Here is an 18886-nt window from a genome sequence, read left to right as displayed (position 1 = left end):
TGTCCATTTTATGCTTGGGTTCAACAAAGCACAGAGAGCCATGTAAAAATATAATTGGACAAAAAGGGTCTGATCAAATGCTAGTAGACTGAGTGGGGAAACCCAGCAAGGCCTGTCTGCCTAGATTCTTCCTGGCCTCTCTGAGCATGCATTCCTTCCTTCTGGGTTTGGGGCAGGACCCTTGTTGACCTACAGTCAAACAAGTTAGGTCAGGTGATTTCTTTATGGATAGCTTTTACAAAGAAAGGGGGAGGGAAAGTCTGGGTAATATTTTTAGGTTTTATGGCTGGCTTTGGAGAAAAGGGGTTCTGGTTTCTATGACCTGCCTTGGGGAAGAGAGATTCTAGTTTCGATGACTAGACTTGAGGGAGAATGGGATTGAGAGAAAGGAGGACAGGAAAAGGTCAGAGAAAAACTTTTGCTTCTTAGGCTGCTTCTGAAACCCTCATTTTGGGGTATTGTTTTATGAGCCCTAATAGTTCAAAAACAATCAAACACATTTCAGTCTTCCACTAAGCTTGCAAGGTTCCTGTGATGTGGGTAGTGTAGAAGAAGAAACTTTTCCCTGCATCCTCTTAGGTTCTGTACATGGAGGCCTACAAATTAGATTGACAAAAAACAAATTAACAGGAGAAAAAGATGTATTACATACGCATATGGGAACTTCACAGAAAAAGGAATGAAAGCACAAAGATGCAAATATTCCCCAGGGTTTATATATCATTTAATAAGTCCTGGAGAAGGTGGTTTTGGACTTCCAGGTGCAGGGGGAAGTAGGTTTGGGGAAGATGACTAGGAAATGTGTGGTGTATAAGAGTTGTTTTGTAAGATTTGTTATGAAGAAGCTGGGTGCAGTGACTCATGCCTGTAATCCCAGCACTTTGGGAGGCCGAGGCGGGCTGATCACTTGAGGTCAGGACTTCGAGACCAGCCTGGCCAACATGGTGAAACCCCTTCTCTACTAAAAATACAAAAATTAGCCTGGCGTGGTGGCACACAACTATAGTCCTAGCTACTCAGGAGGCTGAGGCAGGAGAATCACTTGAACTGGGGAGGCGGAGGTAGCTGTGAGCCAAGACTGCACCACTGCACCCCAGCCTGGGCGACAGAGCAAGACTGTCTCAAAAAAAAAAAAAAAAAAAAAAAGATTTCATATGAAAAGTCATCTCAGATGGTAAGAGTTGTGTTTGTGTGTATGTAGTGTGCATGTGTGTGTGTGTCTGTGTGTGTGTCTGTGTCTTTGGAGTCATTCTCCTCTTTCTGGTAGAGAAGAGGACATCTTCACAAACAGAAATTTCTGCCAAACACGGTGGTACCTGCCTATAGTCCCAGCTAATTGGGAGGCTAAGGTGGGATGATCGTTTGAGCCCAAGAGTTCAAGACCAGAAGACCAGCTTGGGTAACATAGCAAAACCCACCACCGTACCACCCCCAGCTCAAAAAAAGAAAGAAATTTCCTTTACAAATGTAAATTTTCTTTGCAAAAGGGAAGGGTATGCTGTGTTTTTAGAGTTTTCCCTGAGTCTGCTGTTTCTCTATTGCCTTCAGCGCAAAATAATCGCTATACCAAAGTGGCATATTTTGGAGTGGTATATTTTGATTTCCTTATAGCAGCATGTTGGAAATAGCAAGAGTATCAAAAGTCTTTTGAGGCTACCTCAAAATTACCTAATTGCTTTCATTACCTTTTAAGTAAAGGTTATACATTCAAATTTATAAAAATAAATTTATAGTAATAAAACATTGTTTTTGTTTATTCAGTGAGATTCCACACAAGATTAAAAACTTTATTGGTGGGAGGAGAGGAAAGGGTTCTGCTAAAAAGGTTTGAAAGTACTAGGCTACTACATGCCCCACACCCCACCCCTTTTTTTTCTGAGACAGAATCTTGCTCTGTCACCCAGGCTGGAGTGCAGGGGTGCAATCATAGCTCACTGCAGCCTTGACCTCCTGGGCTCAAGCAATCCTTCCACCTCAGCTTCCTGAGTAGCTGGGACTACAGGTGCATTCCACCATGCCTGGCTAATTTTTAAAATTTTTTGTAGAGATGGGGTCTCACTACGTTGCCCAGGCTGGTTTTGAACTCCTGGGCTTGAACAATCCTCCCACCTTGGCCTCCCAAAGTGTTATGATCACAGGTGTGAGCTACCACGCCCAGCCATGGCCCTCCCCTGCTTTTTTTTTTTTTTTTTTTTTTTTGAGACAGAGTCTCACCCTGTCGCCCAGGCTGGAGTGCTGTAGTGTGATCTAGGCTCACTGCAACTTCTGTCTCCTGGGTTCAAGTGATTCTCCTGCCTCAGCCTCCTGAGTAGCTGGGATTACAGGCACCTGACACCACACCTGACTAATTTTTGTATTTTTAGTAGAGATGGGCTTTCACCATGTTGGCCAGGCTGGTCTTGAACTCCTGACCTCAGGTGATCCGCCTGCTTGCCCCATGACCCTTCAAATAAAAAGGAGCAATCCTATTCAGCTTTGCTACAGGATTTCAAAATTTTACCTTAGAGGTTCCTTTAACAGAAAGAAGTTAATTTATACTAGTTATAATAATGTGTCCTCATATCCCCAGCTAGAATATACATTAGGCCTATATAATCTGTTTGTTTAAAACACAGAAGAGAATTATGAGATATTTGTTGAAAGAACCTGTTTACATTAAGTCATGGATGTAGCAGCTAAAAAAACACAACTTCAGCCAGGCACAGCTCATGCCTGTAATCCCAGCACTTTGGGAGGCTGAGGTGGGCAGATAATTTCAGGCCAGGAGTTCAAGACCAGCTGGGCAACATGGCAAAACCCTGTCTCTACTAAAAATACAAAAATTAGCCAGGCATGGTGTTATGTATCTATAGTCCCAGCTACTTGGGAGGCTGAGGCAGGAGAATTGCTTGAACCCCAGAAGCGGAGGTTGCAGTGAGCTGAGATAGCTCTACTGCACTCCAGTCTGGGTAACAGAGTGTGAGACTCTGTCTCCAAAACAAAGCACAACTTCATGGCAAAATAGAATGCAATAAGCAGAGTCCAAAGGCAAATGACAGGAACTAATCTTGATTGTGGTCATGGTGGGTTACACAATTATATACATATACTTCTTGCACTGTGCTCTAAAATGTGTGAATGTAATGTGTTTGTAAATTATACTTCTACCTTGATTTTTTTAATGAGGTAATTCTAATTAACAAATGAGGAAAAGGTACTTGCAAATTTTTTCATAAACAGCAAATATCTATAATCTGTAGAACATTCCCAAACATCGAGAAGAGCAAACGCCAGTCATGCACAGTGGCTCATGCCTGTAATCTCACTACTTTGGGAGGAGGAAGGAGGATCACTTGAAGCCAGGAGTTCAAGACTGGCAAGACCTTGTCTCTACAAAAAAATAAAAATAAAATAAAATAAAATAAAAATTAGCCAGGCATCTTGGCATGCACCTGTAGTCCTAGTTATTTGAAAGGCTAAGGCAGGAGAATCCCTTGAGCCCAGGAGTTCAAGGCTGCAGTGAGCTATGATTGTACCACTGTACATCAGCCTGGGCAACAGAGCAAGACCCTATCTCAAAACAGAAAAAACTTGGTAAAAATACAAAAGTTAGACAACTTCCTTACTGAGGTTGCAGAAAAACAGGCATTCTCACATACGGTTGTTTGGAATGCAAAATGGTACAATTGCAAGACAGGCTAATCCCATAGTATCCAGCAAAATTACATATGCATTTCCTCTTGTAGGAAACAATATCAAAGACACACTGAAAAAAAATATAAATGCCTCATGGTCAAAGTTAAGACTGTACCATTATTTATAGTAACAAAAAAAGGAAACAACCTAAATATCCATCAATTAGGCAAATTGGCTAATGGAATATTATGTAGCTATTAAAAAGAAATCAGGACTCTCTCAGTACACTGATATGGAATAACCTCCAGGATAAATCATTTAAAAAGAATAGTGCAGAACAGTGTTCATAGTATGCTGGCTATTTAGAAAATATTTTTTTAAAAGAAGCAACAGAATAGCTGATGTGGTGGCTCATGCCTGTAATCCCAGCACTTTGGGAAACTAAGGTGGGCAAATCACTTGAGCCCAGGAGTTCAAGACCAGCCTGGGCAACATGGTGAAACCTCCTCTTTACAAAAATTACAAAAATTAGCCAGGCATGTGGCATACGCCTGTAGTCCCAGCTACTCAGGAGGCTGAGGTGGGAGGATCTCGTGGGTCTGGGAAGCAGAGGTTGCAATGAGCCAAGATCGTGCCACTGCACTCTAGCCTAGGGGACACAGTAAAACCCTGTCTCAAAAAAAAAAAAACAGCAACCGAAGGAATAATAAAAATTAGTTATTTGTAGGGGGATAGAGGGAAACAGATGAGAACACATAATGGAAGCACAACTGATGTGACTATATCTAGGTTTATAGTTCTGATTTTGAAATTCTATGAATGTTTACATAACTAAAAATCTAAGTTTAACCAAAAGTGGGAAAAAGCAACTCCTAAATTGAAAACAAAATAAATGAACCTACTGAATATTTAGAGGCACGCACACAAAAATTGCTCAAAAATAAAAAAGGAAATATATCTTGAAATATGTATTGATGAAATGACATGATGTCTGGGGTTTGCTTGAGTAAAAGGAAGAAAAAAAGAATGGACAAAACAAGTGTGGCAAAATCTTGACAACTGCTAAATGCACATGATTGGTTTGTTATATCATTCTCTCTCAGGTTGACTTTTTTTTTTTAGATGGAGTCTCATGCTGTGGCCCGGGCCTGGAGTGCAGTGGCGGGATCTCGGCTCACTGCAACCTCCGCCTCCCAGGTTCATGCAATTCTCCTGCCTCAGCCTCCTGAGTAGCTGGGATTACTGGTGCACACCACCACATCTGGCTAATTTTTTGTATTTTTAGTAGAGATGGCGTTTCACTATGTTGGCCAGACTGGTCTCAAACTCCTGACCTCGTGATCCGCCTGCCTCGGCCTCCCAAAGTGCTGGGATTACAGGTGTGAGCCACTGCGCCCGGCCAGGTTGACTTCTATAATAAGAGGTTTTAAAAGAAGCAGCTGCCCACTTTTAATAACTCCACCAGAACACAATCACCATCCCTCATGTCATTTAACACAAAATCAGGTGGGACCAGAATTAATGTGAAGAAACCTCTTAGCATCCTTTCATCTTCAAAGCTCTACAAAAACTCTCAAAGATAAGGTTTCGCTGTGTCATTGAGAGGTATTTCAGTTAATAGCTGTATTTCTACATGGAGAAATTAGATAACCGGAGTACAATAATAATAGTTTGCTGTGTCTTGGTTGATGCTCTTTTAAATGCTCACAGCACTTTCTCACCTAGTTATCCCACTGTTACCTAAAGGGTCTGTAATTACTGCCACTTCACAGATGAGAAACTGAGTCTTGGTGAAGTTAAGTGATGGGTCCATGCTCACAGCTGACCTACTACTGAGACCAGGGTTTCCTATCAGCCAACTGGCTATCAGGTACTAGTGGATAGTTGGTAGTCAGCTACCAACTATCATATACAGACCACAGAGGAAGTTAACATCAAGAGATGAGATTAGAATTCATATTTTAGCTTTTACTCCAGCACTCTGGTTAAATAGTAGACATATTAGAGAGATCACCTTTAAACCCTAAATTTCACATGTAATAAATAGTCTAAAACTACTTAAAAATGTTTGCGTGCACATATGTGTGTTGTGTGTATATGTGTTCATCTCTCTCCCTTGTCAACACTACAATAAAATGAAGGGTGTCTCTTCCCCTTTATTTGAAAGTCAGGTTCATGGGCTCATGTCTACAAAGTAAACATGGTAGAACACAGTGGTTATTGAATGTTTTTACTGTTTACTGTCTTGGCCTCATTCCTTCCTATAGAGAAGGATTGAGCTTATAAGTTAATGTTCATTTAATAGTTACAGAACACATTGTTACAGGGCAAGCCTAAGTCTTGAACACCATTTTTTTTTTTTTTGACAGGGTCTTTTGTCACCCAGGCCAGAGTGCAGTGGCTCCATCTCAGCTCATTACAGCCTTGACCTCCCAGGCTCAAGTGATCCTCCTACCTGAACCTCCAGAATAGCTGAGACTACAGGTGCACACCATCATACCTGGCTAATTTAATTTTTTTTTTTTTTTTTGAGATAAGAGTTCTGCCACTTTGCTCATGCTGGTCTCAGACTCTTTTTTTTTTTTTTTTTTCCTGAGACCGAGTCTTGCTCTGTCACCCAGGCTGGAGTACAGGGGCATGATCTTGGCTCACTGCAACCTCCATCTTCTGGGTTCAAGCCATTCTCCTGCCTCAGCATCCCCAGTAGCTGGGGTTACAGGCACGTGCCACCATGCCCAGCTAATTTTAGTATTTTAGTAGAGATGGGGTTTCACCATGTTGGCCAGGCTGGTCTCAAACTCCTGACCTCAAGTGATCCACTCATCTTGGCCTCCCAAAGTGCTAGGATTACAGGCATGAGCTACCACACCCAGCCAGGTCTCAAACTCAAGCTCAAGTGATCTTCCTGCCTTGGCCTCAAAGGTACTGGGATTACAGGTATGAGCCACTGCACTTGGCCAAACACCTTTTCTTTATGGAAAAAAAAAAAGTTGTTGATTTTAAACAGCACAGCTAAGTGCTTTAAAATTATGCTCAAGCTTGTGGAAGCAATACTGGCATGTGGAGGGCTATCTTTAGTCTTTAATTGTGGACTGTCATCTTTAACTATTTGATTATGCTGACATTTTTATCTTATTTTATTTTTTGAGACAGGGTCTCACTCTGTTGCCCAGGCTGGAGTGCAGTGGCACAATCTTGGCTCACTGCAGCCTCCGCCTCTGAATTTCAAGCAGTTCTCCTGCCTCAGCCTCCCCAGTAGCTGGGATTACAGGCATGTGCCACCACACCCGGCTAATTTTTATATTTTTAGTAGAGATGGGGTTTCACCATGTTGGCCAGGCTGGTCTCGAACTCCTGACCTCAAATAATCTACCCGCCTCAGCCTCCCAAAGTGCTGGGATTATAGGCGTGAGCCACTGCGCCTGGCCTATGCTGACATTTTTAATGTGAAAAAGAGAGTTGGCTGCCACATTAAATTCCCAGGTGGCTCTTGTTCTTTGATTTATGTAGCATATTTGGTGTTATTTGAATACTTTGTTTTATTTTTCAAAAGGCAGTGTTTCCTTCAGGTTTTCTTATAATTTGGGTCATGACAGCTTTTGCGAATCAGAAACAAAAAGAAGTCACGTGAAAAATTATAGGAATTAGAAGATATGCATTTTGACTCCGTTAAAAAGATTCAATCACATTAAAAGTTACATAAAGAGGGTCTTTATGTGTTTCTATTATATAGACATTAAAGTCATCTTTAAAAAAAATTCCCACTCAAGTGGATGGAAAAAGTCATCTTACTTAAAACCACGGAGAAATGCTCATTATTTAATATTAAGTCAGAAAGTAGAATATAAAACTAAATATACAGAGTGATTCCAATTTTATTTAAAGATAACTAATGCAAAGAGAAAAGGCCAGATGGAAATATACCATATTGTTTATGAATATAATTTTAGCCTAGTGGGAGTATGTGTTGTTTAAACATTTAAAAAATGCTTTCCTACATTTAATGAATTTTTAATAATAGATATATTTTATTTATTATATACATTTATCATAAGAAAAAAGATATCTTTTTTTTTCCTTTTTGTGCAGAACAAAGTCTTGCTATATTCCCCAGGTGGGTCTGGCTTAAGCTATCCTCCTGCTTCTGCCTCTGTAAATGCTGGGATTACAGGCGTGAGCCACCACGCCCAGCAGAAAAAAAGGTATTTTAAAGGCTTCTATGCCAGTTTTTAATCTGTAATAATGAATATTATTAATAGTGTTTTTGTATAGCCCTCAGCAATTCTGTATCATGCAGAAATGGCCTACAAAATGTACAGTTGACTAGACAATTCAAGAATTCACTTTTCTAATCTTTCATTCATCCCCAGAGCAAAAGGCAAAATGTATTACTCAGGAGGCTGAGGTGGGAGGATCGCTTAAGCCAAGTAGGTGGAGATTGCAATGAGCTGAGATGGTGCCACTGCACTCCAGCCTGGGTGACAGAGACCATGTCTCAAAAAAAAAGGTTGTGGGGGGATGTAAAGAATGATTCCCTATGATATTATTCCTTCTTATTCTCAGTAACCATTTGAGCGAAACTTGGAATAACTCGCTCTTTCCTGATAAACTAATTTAGCACATAAATGTACTTTGGTAAATATAGAAACTTAAAGATGCAGCTGGGGGTGGTGTTCATTTAGTTAATACCATGGAACTACCAAATGGTATAATCTTGGAAAAAATCGTGGGTTGAGATATCATTGTCTGTGTTGCAGTATTTTAAACTAGGACAAAAATAGAAGTCCTACAGTTTCTATTTTCTTCAAACAGTTACTCGCTGGAAGTGGTGGGAATCATAAAAAACAACCAGGACCTTGCATCCTAGTATAGAAGCCACAACTGTGGAAGCTTAACAGCCAGGCAAATGCCCACAAACCACCACCCTCTGCATTGGATGCATATGTCCCTGACCTCGCAAGTGAAAAAGAGAGGAAGACGGCGACACCTCCAGGCTTCAGACTCATTAATCCTGTGAATCGTGACCCACTCTTAAAACCAAGGTCTTTTAAATTAAATGATGTATTTTACATTCCACTTGGAAATACTCTGGCCAGGCAGCATAACAGTCTTGTAGATGAAACAGCCAAATTAGGTTGTTCTCAAACTCTTAGCTTTTTTTCTTAGGGAAAAGAAAAATTTAAGAACCACATACACATGCAACTACTACCACTTCACAAATTAAAAAGTGAGGAGAGGAGGCCGGGCACAGTGGCTCACGCCTGTAATCCCAGCACTTTGGGAGGCTGAGGCAGGTGGATTGCCTGAGGTTGGGAGTTCAAGACCAGCCTGACCAACATGGAGAAACTCTGTCTCTATTTCAAAAATACAAAAATTAGCCGGGCATGGTGGTGCATGCCTGTAATCCCAGCTACTCGGGAGGCTGAGACAGGAGAATCGCTTGAACCCTAGGAGGCGGAGGTTGCAGTGAGCCAAGATCGCACCATTGCACTCCAGCCTGGGCAACAAGAGCGAAACTCCGTCTCAAAAAAAAAAAAAAAAAAAGTGAGGCGAGGAATACGAGGAATATGGAAAATAGATTTTAAAGAACATATCAACTTGGAGATAGAGCATTTGACTTATGAGCTGAGTAGTTTGGGGTAAATTATTTTACTTTTCTTTTTTCTTTTTTTTGAGATGGAGTTTTGCTCTGTTGCCCAAGCTGGAGTGCAGTGCCATGATCTCCGCTTACTGCAACCTCCACCTCCCGTGTTCAAGCGATTCTCCTGCCTCAGCCTCCCAAGTAGCTGAGATTACAGGCACATGCCACCACATCCAGCTAAATTTTGTATTTTTAGTAGGGAAGGGGTTTCACCATGTTGGCCAGGCTGGTCTTGTACTCCTGACCTCAAGTGATCTGCCTGCCTCGGCCTCCCAAAGTGCTGGGATTACAGGCGTGAGCCATAATGCCTGGCCTATTTTACTTTTCTTGATCTTACTTTTCTCATCTGCAAAATGAGGATAATAATAATAATACTTGTAATATAAATCAGTGACTATCTCTGGAGAATGAATTTATGGGGGATTTTTACTTTTTAGTCTTTTTTTTTTTTTTTTTTTTTTTTCTGAGAAGGAGTCTTGCTCTGTTGCTTGGGCTGGAGTGCAGTGGCACAATCTCAGTTCACTGCAACCTCTGCCTCCCAGGTTTAAGTGATTCTCGTGTGTCAACCTCCTGAGTAGGTGGGACTACGGGTGCATACCACCATGCCCAGCTAATTTTTTTTTTTTTTTTTGACACAGAGTCTCACACTGTCGCCCAGGCTGGAGTGCAGAGGTGCAATCTCGGCTCACTGCCGCCTCCGCCTCCTGGGTTCAAGCAATTCTCCTGCCTCAGCCTCTCAAGTAGCTGGGATTACAGGCGCCCGCCACCATGCCCAGCTAATTTTTGTATTTTTAGTGAGACAGGGTTTCGCCATGTTGGCCAGGCTGGTCTCAAACTCCTGACTTCAGGTGATCCACCCACCTCCCCCTCCCAAAGTGCTGGGATTACAGGCGTGAGCCACCGTGCCTGGCCCACCTCGCATGGTCTCCTTTCTAGTTTTTTAAGAGAATGAAAATGCTTAGTTCAGGAGATTCTAAAGAGAACCAAGGGACACTATGAATGTAAATGTTTTTGTAGAGACTCTCTACTATAACAATTGTTAAAGACTTGGCCAGGTGCACCGGCTCATGCCTATAATCCCAGTACTTTGGGAGGCTGAGGCAGGAGGATCGCTTGAGCCCAGGAGTTTGACACCAGCCTGGACAACGTGGTGAGACCTTGTCTCTACAAAAAAATTAAACAATTAACCAGGCTTGCTGGCACATGCCTATAGTCCCAGCAACTTGGGAAGCTGAGGTAGGAGGATTGTGTGAGCCTGGGAGATCAAGGCTGGAATGAGCCGTGATTATGCCACTGCACTGCAGCCTGGGTGACAGAACAAGACCCTGTCTCAAAAAAAAAAAAAAAAAAAAAGGACTTGCCTAGCAAAATGCAGTAACAGTGTAGATGAACCAGTGGGGAAAGAAACTTCTCATTTTCCCCCCTCTTCACTCATTGGCATCTGAGTTAGGAGCTATTGTGTCAAATCATAGTGCTGAAAACAATGTACTATATTCCCAAAGTTCTCTCCCTAGCCTGGTGCCCAGTCAGGGAGAGAAATCTTTATGGTCTTGGATTTTTCAATGATTGCCCAAGAAATCCCCTTTGGTGACCCTAGGTCGTCAGCCTCCCTCCTGCTGGAGAGTCTCAGTTCCAAGAATCCTTCTGGGCCAGGCGTGGTGGCTAGATCATGAGGGCCTTCTAAGGCTTGGTAAAGCATGTGGATTTTATTTTAGGGAAGTAGGGATTTTAACATCAGATGTAATCTGGTTCACATTTAAGAAAATATTCTGGCCGGGTGCGGTGGCTCATGCCTGTAATCCCAGCACTCTGGGAGGCCGAGGCAGGCAGATCATGAGGTCAAGAGATTGAGACCATCCTGGCCAACATGGTGAAACCCTGTCTCTACTAAAAATACAAATATTAGCTGGGCATGGTGGCATGCGCCTGTAGTCCCAGCTACTCAGGAGGCTGAGGCAGGAGAATCGCTTGAACCTGGGAGGTGGATGTTGCAGTGAGCCAAGATCATGCCACGGCACTCCAGCTTGGTGACAGAGCAAAAAACTCTGTCTCAAAAAAAAAAAAAAAAAAAAAAAGAATCCTTCTGTGCTTTTCCAGGGTGATCCTGAGAACAACATTGAACAGGTATAATGTGAGTTGCTGCACTTCAGCCAACCAAACCTCCCTCTCCCCCGAAATTTGCTAAGGGTTGGATGCTTCCCATCAGAAATCTATTCTCTGTGAGGCCTCTCCCTAACCACTCCTCACCTCCACCTCCCAAGGGTGACCGTTATGTCTTTCTTAGACACTTTGGCTGAATGTATTTGTTTGCGTGCATTTCCTTTGGAATTCATAGGAAAGGACACAGTCATGAAGATGTAGGATATCTGAAGGGAGAGAAAGGAGATCAGAAATAGAGTAGTTCAGAAATAGAGCACTGACTTTCTTTAGCTTTTTTTTTTTTTTTTTTTTCTTAGCCTGGACCTCTTTTGTAGAAGGCAGCAAGACCTTTAAGGGTATAAAAAGTGGATGAGAGAGACAAAGAGGGAGGTATGGAAAACAAGGGTGATAGGAGATCTCCAGGACAAACTACCTCATTGTTTTGCCTGACTCTGGCTCCAGAAATGAAAGGTCCCTCTTCCCCTCTGGGCAAAAGAAAGAATCAGCATAATTAAATGTTCAAGGTTTGTTAGATGTTAGGTGCCTGCATTTCAGCTGAGGAAGGAGCTGTTCCATAAAGTGGAGATTTCTCTGTTGAGAACTGCCCTGCAGAAATCAAGCTGGCATCAAAGCCTGGTCTTTTTAATTCTGTTTCTTTCTGAGTTTTGCTGCAGCTCATAAGTTATAATCAGAGGAAGGAAACGCCTGAGAGATCTGAAGGTTTTAATTGTTGTTGAGTGCAGATGGTTTGGATTACCGCACAGGAATGGAGCTCAAGGTCAGTGTCTGTAATCAGCTGCCTGAATGTATGATTTTAGCTGGACGGCACCATTTCTGGGTAAGAGCTGTGCAGCTACATTTAAGCAGCATTAGTGCCTGGAACACTGGCTGACAGATTAAAATGTACGTTTATCAGAAATTGATAGCACAGATAAACCGAACATATTTGTCACATAAAATAAGATCTTGTCAGTGAACTTTAAAAGAAAACAGGAAGTGGACGTGATTGGAGGACAAGAAGTCAAGCAAATTCCACCACCAAGATCCTTGGTTTCTTTTAGTTGAATACAGTAAGGATTGTTAGGGTGGAGGAGTTGGATGGAAACCGAGGCAGAGAGGTTGCAATGTGTGCCTGGTGCCAGCAAAAATCATGTGGATGACTGAAACGCTGGTGTTTTGTTTTGTTTTGTTTTTGAGACGGAGTCTCACTCTGTCATCCAGGCTGGAGTGCAATGGCGCAATCTTGGCTCACTATAACCTCTGCCTCCCGGGTTCAAGCAATTCTCCTGCCTTAGCCTCCCAAGTAGCTGGAACTACAGGCGCACGCTACCATGCCTGGCTAATTTTTGTATTTTTAGTAGAGATGAAGTTTTACCATGTTGGCCAGGCTGGTCTCCAACTCCTGATTTCAGGTGATCCACCCCCATTGGCCTCCCAAAGTGCTGGGATTACAGGCGTGAGCCACTGACTTTGCTTTTGTATGAAACACAAATCTGATTTCCCCTGTGTGACATGGAACACTTGAGCTTTTCACCCCATTAACAGTGAGTAAAAAGGGAGATTCTTTTTAATTTCAGAAACAGCCTAAACAAAGCAGCTGCATTAACTGCCTCAGAGGGTAGAGATCATTTTGTTCCTATTCTGGAACACAGACTCAATACTTTGTGTCATGTGAAGGGTCCTCAGGTACCTCCCATTGCCTTGAGTAGAAAGTGGGGCGGAGGTGGGGTAGAGGAGATCTCTCCAGGGGAGAGAACTGCTTGTCTTGCAAGAGAACAAAAGGTACAGGGCTCTCTTTGAAATATGCACTTCCAGGTCCAGGGTTTATGCTGCTATGCACAAAGATTGATCAAGTACTTCAAAATGAGTAAGTAGTGTCTCGAAGATCTTTCTACACTTCCAGCCTGCTCATGTGAGAAATGAGAAAATAAATGGACATACACGCTGGCCAAAAGTGTGGGAAAATCAATAGTAGTGCCAAATCAGAAGGCTAGCTCAACCTTCAGTGTCTTTCTTGAAGTAGAAAGCCCCAAACAGTTAGAAGCTATGAAAGACTCCAGGTCTGATTCTTCCCTCTAAGAAGCACACCGCAGGGTACTTGTTCCTAAGCCAGCTCGAGGGTGGGTGTTGAGAGGGAGACGGCTTCAGAATGAATCTTTTTCTAACTCCACAACTTCTTTCCTTCATTCTGAGGTGCACTCCTCACCTACCCCTCAAAGTCCCATATCCAGGAATCTCTGTGCCAAAATGGATTGTAACTGACGAGACTTTGTTTCCAATCTGAATGTCTTGAAGACAGAAAAAGATTCAGTTACCTAAAGTGTCCTTCAGGCTCTAAATTATCATCTATGAAGAAAATAGTAAAGCTTTTCAAAGTAAAATAGGCACAATGATTTATGAAATTACCTAAAGAAAAATGAGTGTAGTTAATCTTTTTGGCAGGAGGCATTTTCACTAGCTGAGCAGGCTGGTGCTGTCAGCAAAGTTTCTGAGTAGACAAGGAAAACTTGGCACATTTCAGAGAGCTGGGCAGGGTGGTGGCAACGGGCTGAAAGATCTACAAGGGAAAGCGTTATGATTTTACAATAGACCCTAATCTTTTGGTTAGGGGATCTTTGACCTAGTTCATTTTTCTGTCTCCTACAATAAAAAATGTCATCGTCAGCTGGGCACAGTGGATCTCTCCTGTAATCCCAGCACTTTGGGAGGCCGAGGTGAGAGGATCACTTGTGCCCAGGAATTTGAGACCCCCACCTGGGCAACCGCATCTCTCTAAAAAATTGGCCGAGTGTGGTGGGGCATGCCTGTAGTCCCAGCTACTCAGGAGACTGAGGTGGAAGGATCTGTTTGAGCCTGGAAGGTCAAGGCTGAAGGGAGCCAAGATCGTGCCACTGCACTCCAGCCTGAACACCAGAGTGAGATCTTGTCTCAAAAAACAAAAAGAAAAACAAAAAAAAAAGGTCAATCTCTTTTGAAAGGTTTTCAGATTTAAAAAGAAGAAACAAAAAAGAAAAACAAAAAAAAAAGGTCAATCTCTTTTGAAAGGTTTTCAGATTTAAAAAGAAGAAACATCCTTCTTTGGGCTTTGGCAATGAGGTCTTCATTATATGTAACCCCTCAAATTTGCCTATAACTTTAAAAACATTCTAATTTTCATCACTACTTTTTCCCCAGGCTCAAGCAATCCTCCCACCTCATCCTCCCTAGTAGCTGGAACCGCAGGCATACACCACCATACCTGGCTAATTTTTATTTATTTTTATTTTTTCTGTAGAGACGGGGTTTCACCATGTTGCCCAATCTGGTCTCAAACTCCTGGCTCAAGTGAGCTGCCTGCCTTGGCCTCCCAAAGGGCTGGGCTTACAGGCTTGAAAAGCATGACTACTTTCAAGTTGTATTATATTTTGTTTCAAAAGAGCACTTTACCTGTAACCACTGCTGCTACAAACTAACCTGATGTTTTAAGTTGCTCAGCTAGGTCCCTTATAAGCTACGTGTAGAGTTCTAATAAATTCTTCTCTGATAGCCCTGCCAACAGTCAGAATTGTCCAAACCCTGGGGAATCTACAGAGATAGTCACCTGTCAGTGGGCTCAGTGTAGGCAGAACTACTATCGTCAAGTTATTACCAAAAGAAATGAAGAACTGGATGAGTGCTTAGCTTAAATCAGTGTTTATAAGCTCTCTCTCTCTCTTTTTTTTTTTTACCACAGTAATGTTAAACACATTTTTGCATTGTGATTCAATACATAGGTTTTACATATATATGTAAATATATATGATGTATAAATGTGTAAGTAGATACATGTAAATATATATATATGTTACAGGTTGAATGAGTTGAATCCCTACCCCCAAAAGATATGAAGTCTTAACCCCTGGTACGTGTGGTTGTGACTTATTTGGAAATAGGATCTTTGCAGATATAAACAAGTTAAGATGAGGTCAGTAGGATGGACTCTAATCTAGTACAATTGATATCCTTATAGGAAGAGGGAAGTTTGGACACAGACACACACAGACAAGAGAATACCATGTGACAAAGGCAGAGATTGGAATGATACAGCTGCAAGCCAGGGATGCCAAGGATTGCAGGTGAAGAGTCAAGGAAGGATTCTACCCAGAGTTGCACGGCCTTATTGACACCTTGATTTGGGCTTCTAGACTCCAGAATCATGACAGAATAAATTTATCTGTGTGGATGTGTGTGTGTGTGTGTGTGTGTGTGTGTGTGTGTGTGTTTTCCTAAAAAAGAGACAAGGTCTCATTCTATCCCCCAGGATGGAGTGCAGTGTCATGATCATAGCTCACTGCAGCCTCGATCTCCTGGACTCAAAGCATCTTCCCACCCCAGCCTCCCAGGAATCTGGGACTACAGGTGTGAACCACTGTGCCGGCTCTGTTGATTTAAGCCACCGAGTTTGTGGAACTTTGTTATGGCAGTTCTAGAAAATGAATATAATAATTAAAATGAAAGTTTTGCTAACTGCTACCTTTACCTTTACCATGTGCAATTTTATTTTATTCTTTTTTTAAGCTTCTTATAACTCAGTTCACTGGTTTCATAATCTACTAATGGGTTGTAATCCAAAGTGTGAATAATATACCAGAAATACCCTTGAAAGTTCTTTCCAAACTTGAGAGTTTGTGATTCTATGGGACCTAAGTGGGGCACAGATCAGAAGAATCAAAACACAAAAAAGGCTGCGCGCAGTGGCTCATGCCTATAATCCCAGCACTTCAGGAGGCCAAGGTGGGCAGATCACTTGAAGTCAGGAGTTCAAGACCAGCCTGGCCAACGTGGTGAAACCCCATCTCTACTGAAAAAACAAAAATTAGCCAGGCATGGTGGCGCATGCCTGTAATCCCAGCTACTAGGGAGGCTGAGGCAGGAGAATCTCTTGAACCCAGAAGGCAGAGGTTGCAGTGAGCCAAGATTGCGCCACTGCATTCCACTCCAGCCTGGGCAACAGAGCGATACTCTGTCTTTAAAAAAAAAAAAAAAAACCCAAAAAAACACCTAGTTTTGTACCCTACTCAGCATAGTCCATCTTCACCCTATAATCTCTTATAGTTTCTGGAAAAAGACAGAAATATTTTAATATTAGACAACACAAAGCAATAGCATTAATAAAAAGTTGTTTATTAAAGAATTTGGCTATTGCTGGCCGGGCGCGGTGGCTCACGCCTGTAATCCCAGCACTTTGGAAGGCCAAGGCAGGCGGATCACAAGGTCAGGAGATTGAGACCATCCTGGCTAATATGGTGAAACCCAGTCTCTACTAAAAATACAAAAAAAATAGCCAGGCGTGTTGGCAGGCACCTGTAGCCCCAACTACTGGAGAAGCTGAGGCAGGAGAATTGCTTGAACCAGGAGGCGGAGGTGGCAGTGAGCTGAGATCGCGCCACGGCACTCCAGCCTGGGCGACAGACAGAGAGAGACTCCGTCTCAAAAAAAAAAAAAAAAAAAGAACTTGGCTATTGCTAATAATTCCCTTCCCCCAAATAATAGATATTAAAACACTTAATTATAACTTAAATATGATTATTTCCATGCCTTGATTACTTGACAATTCCCACTCTATTAGAAACTCTTTTGAAGCTGAAAAAAGGTGCAGACTTTCTAACACGGTTGTGTCATTAGTAGGTTCAGCTGGTACCCCATCAAAAAGGCATTTTTTTTTTTTTTGAGACAGAGTTTTGCTCTTGTTGCCCAGGCTGGAGTGCAACGGCTCAATCTCGGCTCACTGCAACCTCTGCATCCTGGGTTCAAGCGATTCTCCTGCCTCAGCCTCCCAAGTAGCTGGGATTACAGGCATGCGCCACCACACCCAGCTAATTTTTTTGTTTCACCTTGTTGGTCAGGCCAGGCTGGAACTCCTGACCTCAGGTGATCCACCCACCTCGGCTTCCTAAAGTGCTGGGATTACAGGCATGAGCCACCATGCCCAGCCAAAAAGGCATGATTTTATAGAGTTTATGAATTGCAAGCTGGCTGACGGAGGCAGTTGCTTCCCAGTGTGGCTGATGCCTGGGCAGCAGTGTAGGCGAGTAGTCAAGAGCATTGGCTTTCCTGCCAGGCAGCCCTTCAGGGTCAGGTGGATTTAGTTTCACGACCTTGGGTATTTATTTAGCCTCTCTTGCCATCAATTTAATTATCTATTGCTCTCTTTTTTTCTTTTTTTGTAAAGACAGGGATCTCACTATGTTGCCTGGGCTGGTCTCAAACTCTTGGCCTCAAGCAATCCTCCCACCTCAGTGTCCAGAGGAGCAGGGACTCCAGGCTTGCCCTATCATGCCTGACTAAATTAATTTTTTCATTTTTTGTAGAGACAGGGTCTTGCTATATTGCCTAGGCTGGTCTTGAACTCCTGGCCTCAAGCAGTCCTCCCGCCTTGGCCTTCCAAAGCACTAGGATTACAGGCAGGAGCCACCACACCTGGCCTAATTATCTCTTAAAATGATAACAATAACCTCTGCCTCCCTGGGGATGTCGTTGGAATTAAATAAATTAACGTACATAAAGCATTTAGCATAGTTCCTGTCACATTGTAAACCCTCAGTAAATTTTAGGTTTTTGTTTTTTTCTTCTTTGTGACGGAGTCTCACTCTGTTGCCCAGGCTGGAGTGCAGTGGTGTGATCTTGGCTCACTGCAACCTTCGCCTCCCAGGTTCAAGTTATTCTCCTGCCTCAGCCTCCCGAGTAGCTGGGACAGATTACAGGCATCCGTCACCATGCCCAGCTAATTTTTGTATTTTTAGTAGAGATGGGGTTTCACCAAGTTGGCCAGGCTGGTCTCAAACTCCTGACCTCAAGTAATCTGCCCACCTCGGCCTCCCAAAGTGCTGGGATTACAGGCATGAGCCATCACACCTGGCAATTTTAGGTATTTTTATCATTACCCTACTGTAAGTTCCTTGAAGGCAGAAACCATGATTGAGACATCTTCGCATATAATCATAACTCTGAAAAAGTCTCTTGTCCACAACAGGTGCCCAATAACAAATGTTGGTTGCAGGAATTCAATGTCTGACAACATAACAGCACTCCTACTGTTTTTTGTTTTTGTTTTTGATTTTGTTTTGAGACAGAGTCTTGCTCTGTTACCCAGGCTGAAGTGCAGTGCCGTGATCTTGGCTCGCTGCCACCCCTGCCTCCTGGGTTCAAGAGATTCTTGTGCCTCAGCCTCCTCAGTAGTTGAGACTAGAGGAGCCTGCCACTACACCCAGCTAATTTTTGTATTTCTAGTAGAGACGGGGATTCCCCCATGTTGGCCAGGCTGGTCTCCAACTCCTGACCCCAGGTGATCCACCTGCCTTGGACTACCAAAGTGCTGGAATTATAGGCATGAGCCACCAAACCCAACCACTCCTACTGTTTATCTTCTTCACAGACAACACCGATTTCTCAAGGAAAGCCAATCACCTGAACATCCTGGGCTGTAAATGCACCTCATTAATTTTTAAAACATTGTAGCGCTAAATGGCAGCA

At 42.7% G+C, this 18886-nt stretch overlaps 1 protein-coding gene and 1 long non-coding RNA gene across 3 annotated transcripts in view; one reads left to right on the top strand and one right to left on the bottom strand.

Annotated features, from left to right (window-relative positions):
• Positions 1-18886, bottom strand: part of RASSF3 (Ras association domain family member 3) — a 190601-nt gene that overhangs the window by 101354 nt on the left and 70361 nt on the right. The gene's annotated exons all lie outside the window — the stretch shown is intronic.
• On the top strand, positions 11961-15596 carry LOC107984521 (uncharacterized). Its single transcript, XR_007063348.1, has 2 exons — positions 11961-12173; positions 15384-15596. It is a non-coding gene; the product is annotated as an uncharacterized LOC107984521 (long non-coding RNA).

The sequence above is a fragment of the Homo sapiens genome, chromosome 12 (genome assembly GCF_000001405.40).
Source record: "Homo sapiens chromosome 12, GRCh38.p14 Primary Assembly".
Classification (NCBI taxonomy): Eukaryota; Metazoa; Chordata; class Mammalia; order Primates; family Hominidae; genus Homo; species Homo sapiens.
The sequence above is the reverse complement of the archived record's forward strand: the minus strand, read 5'-3'. Positions and strand labels throughout refer to the sequence as shown.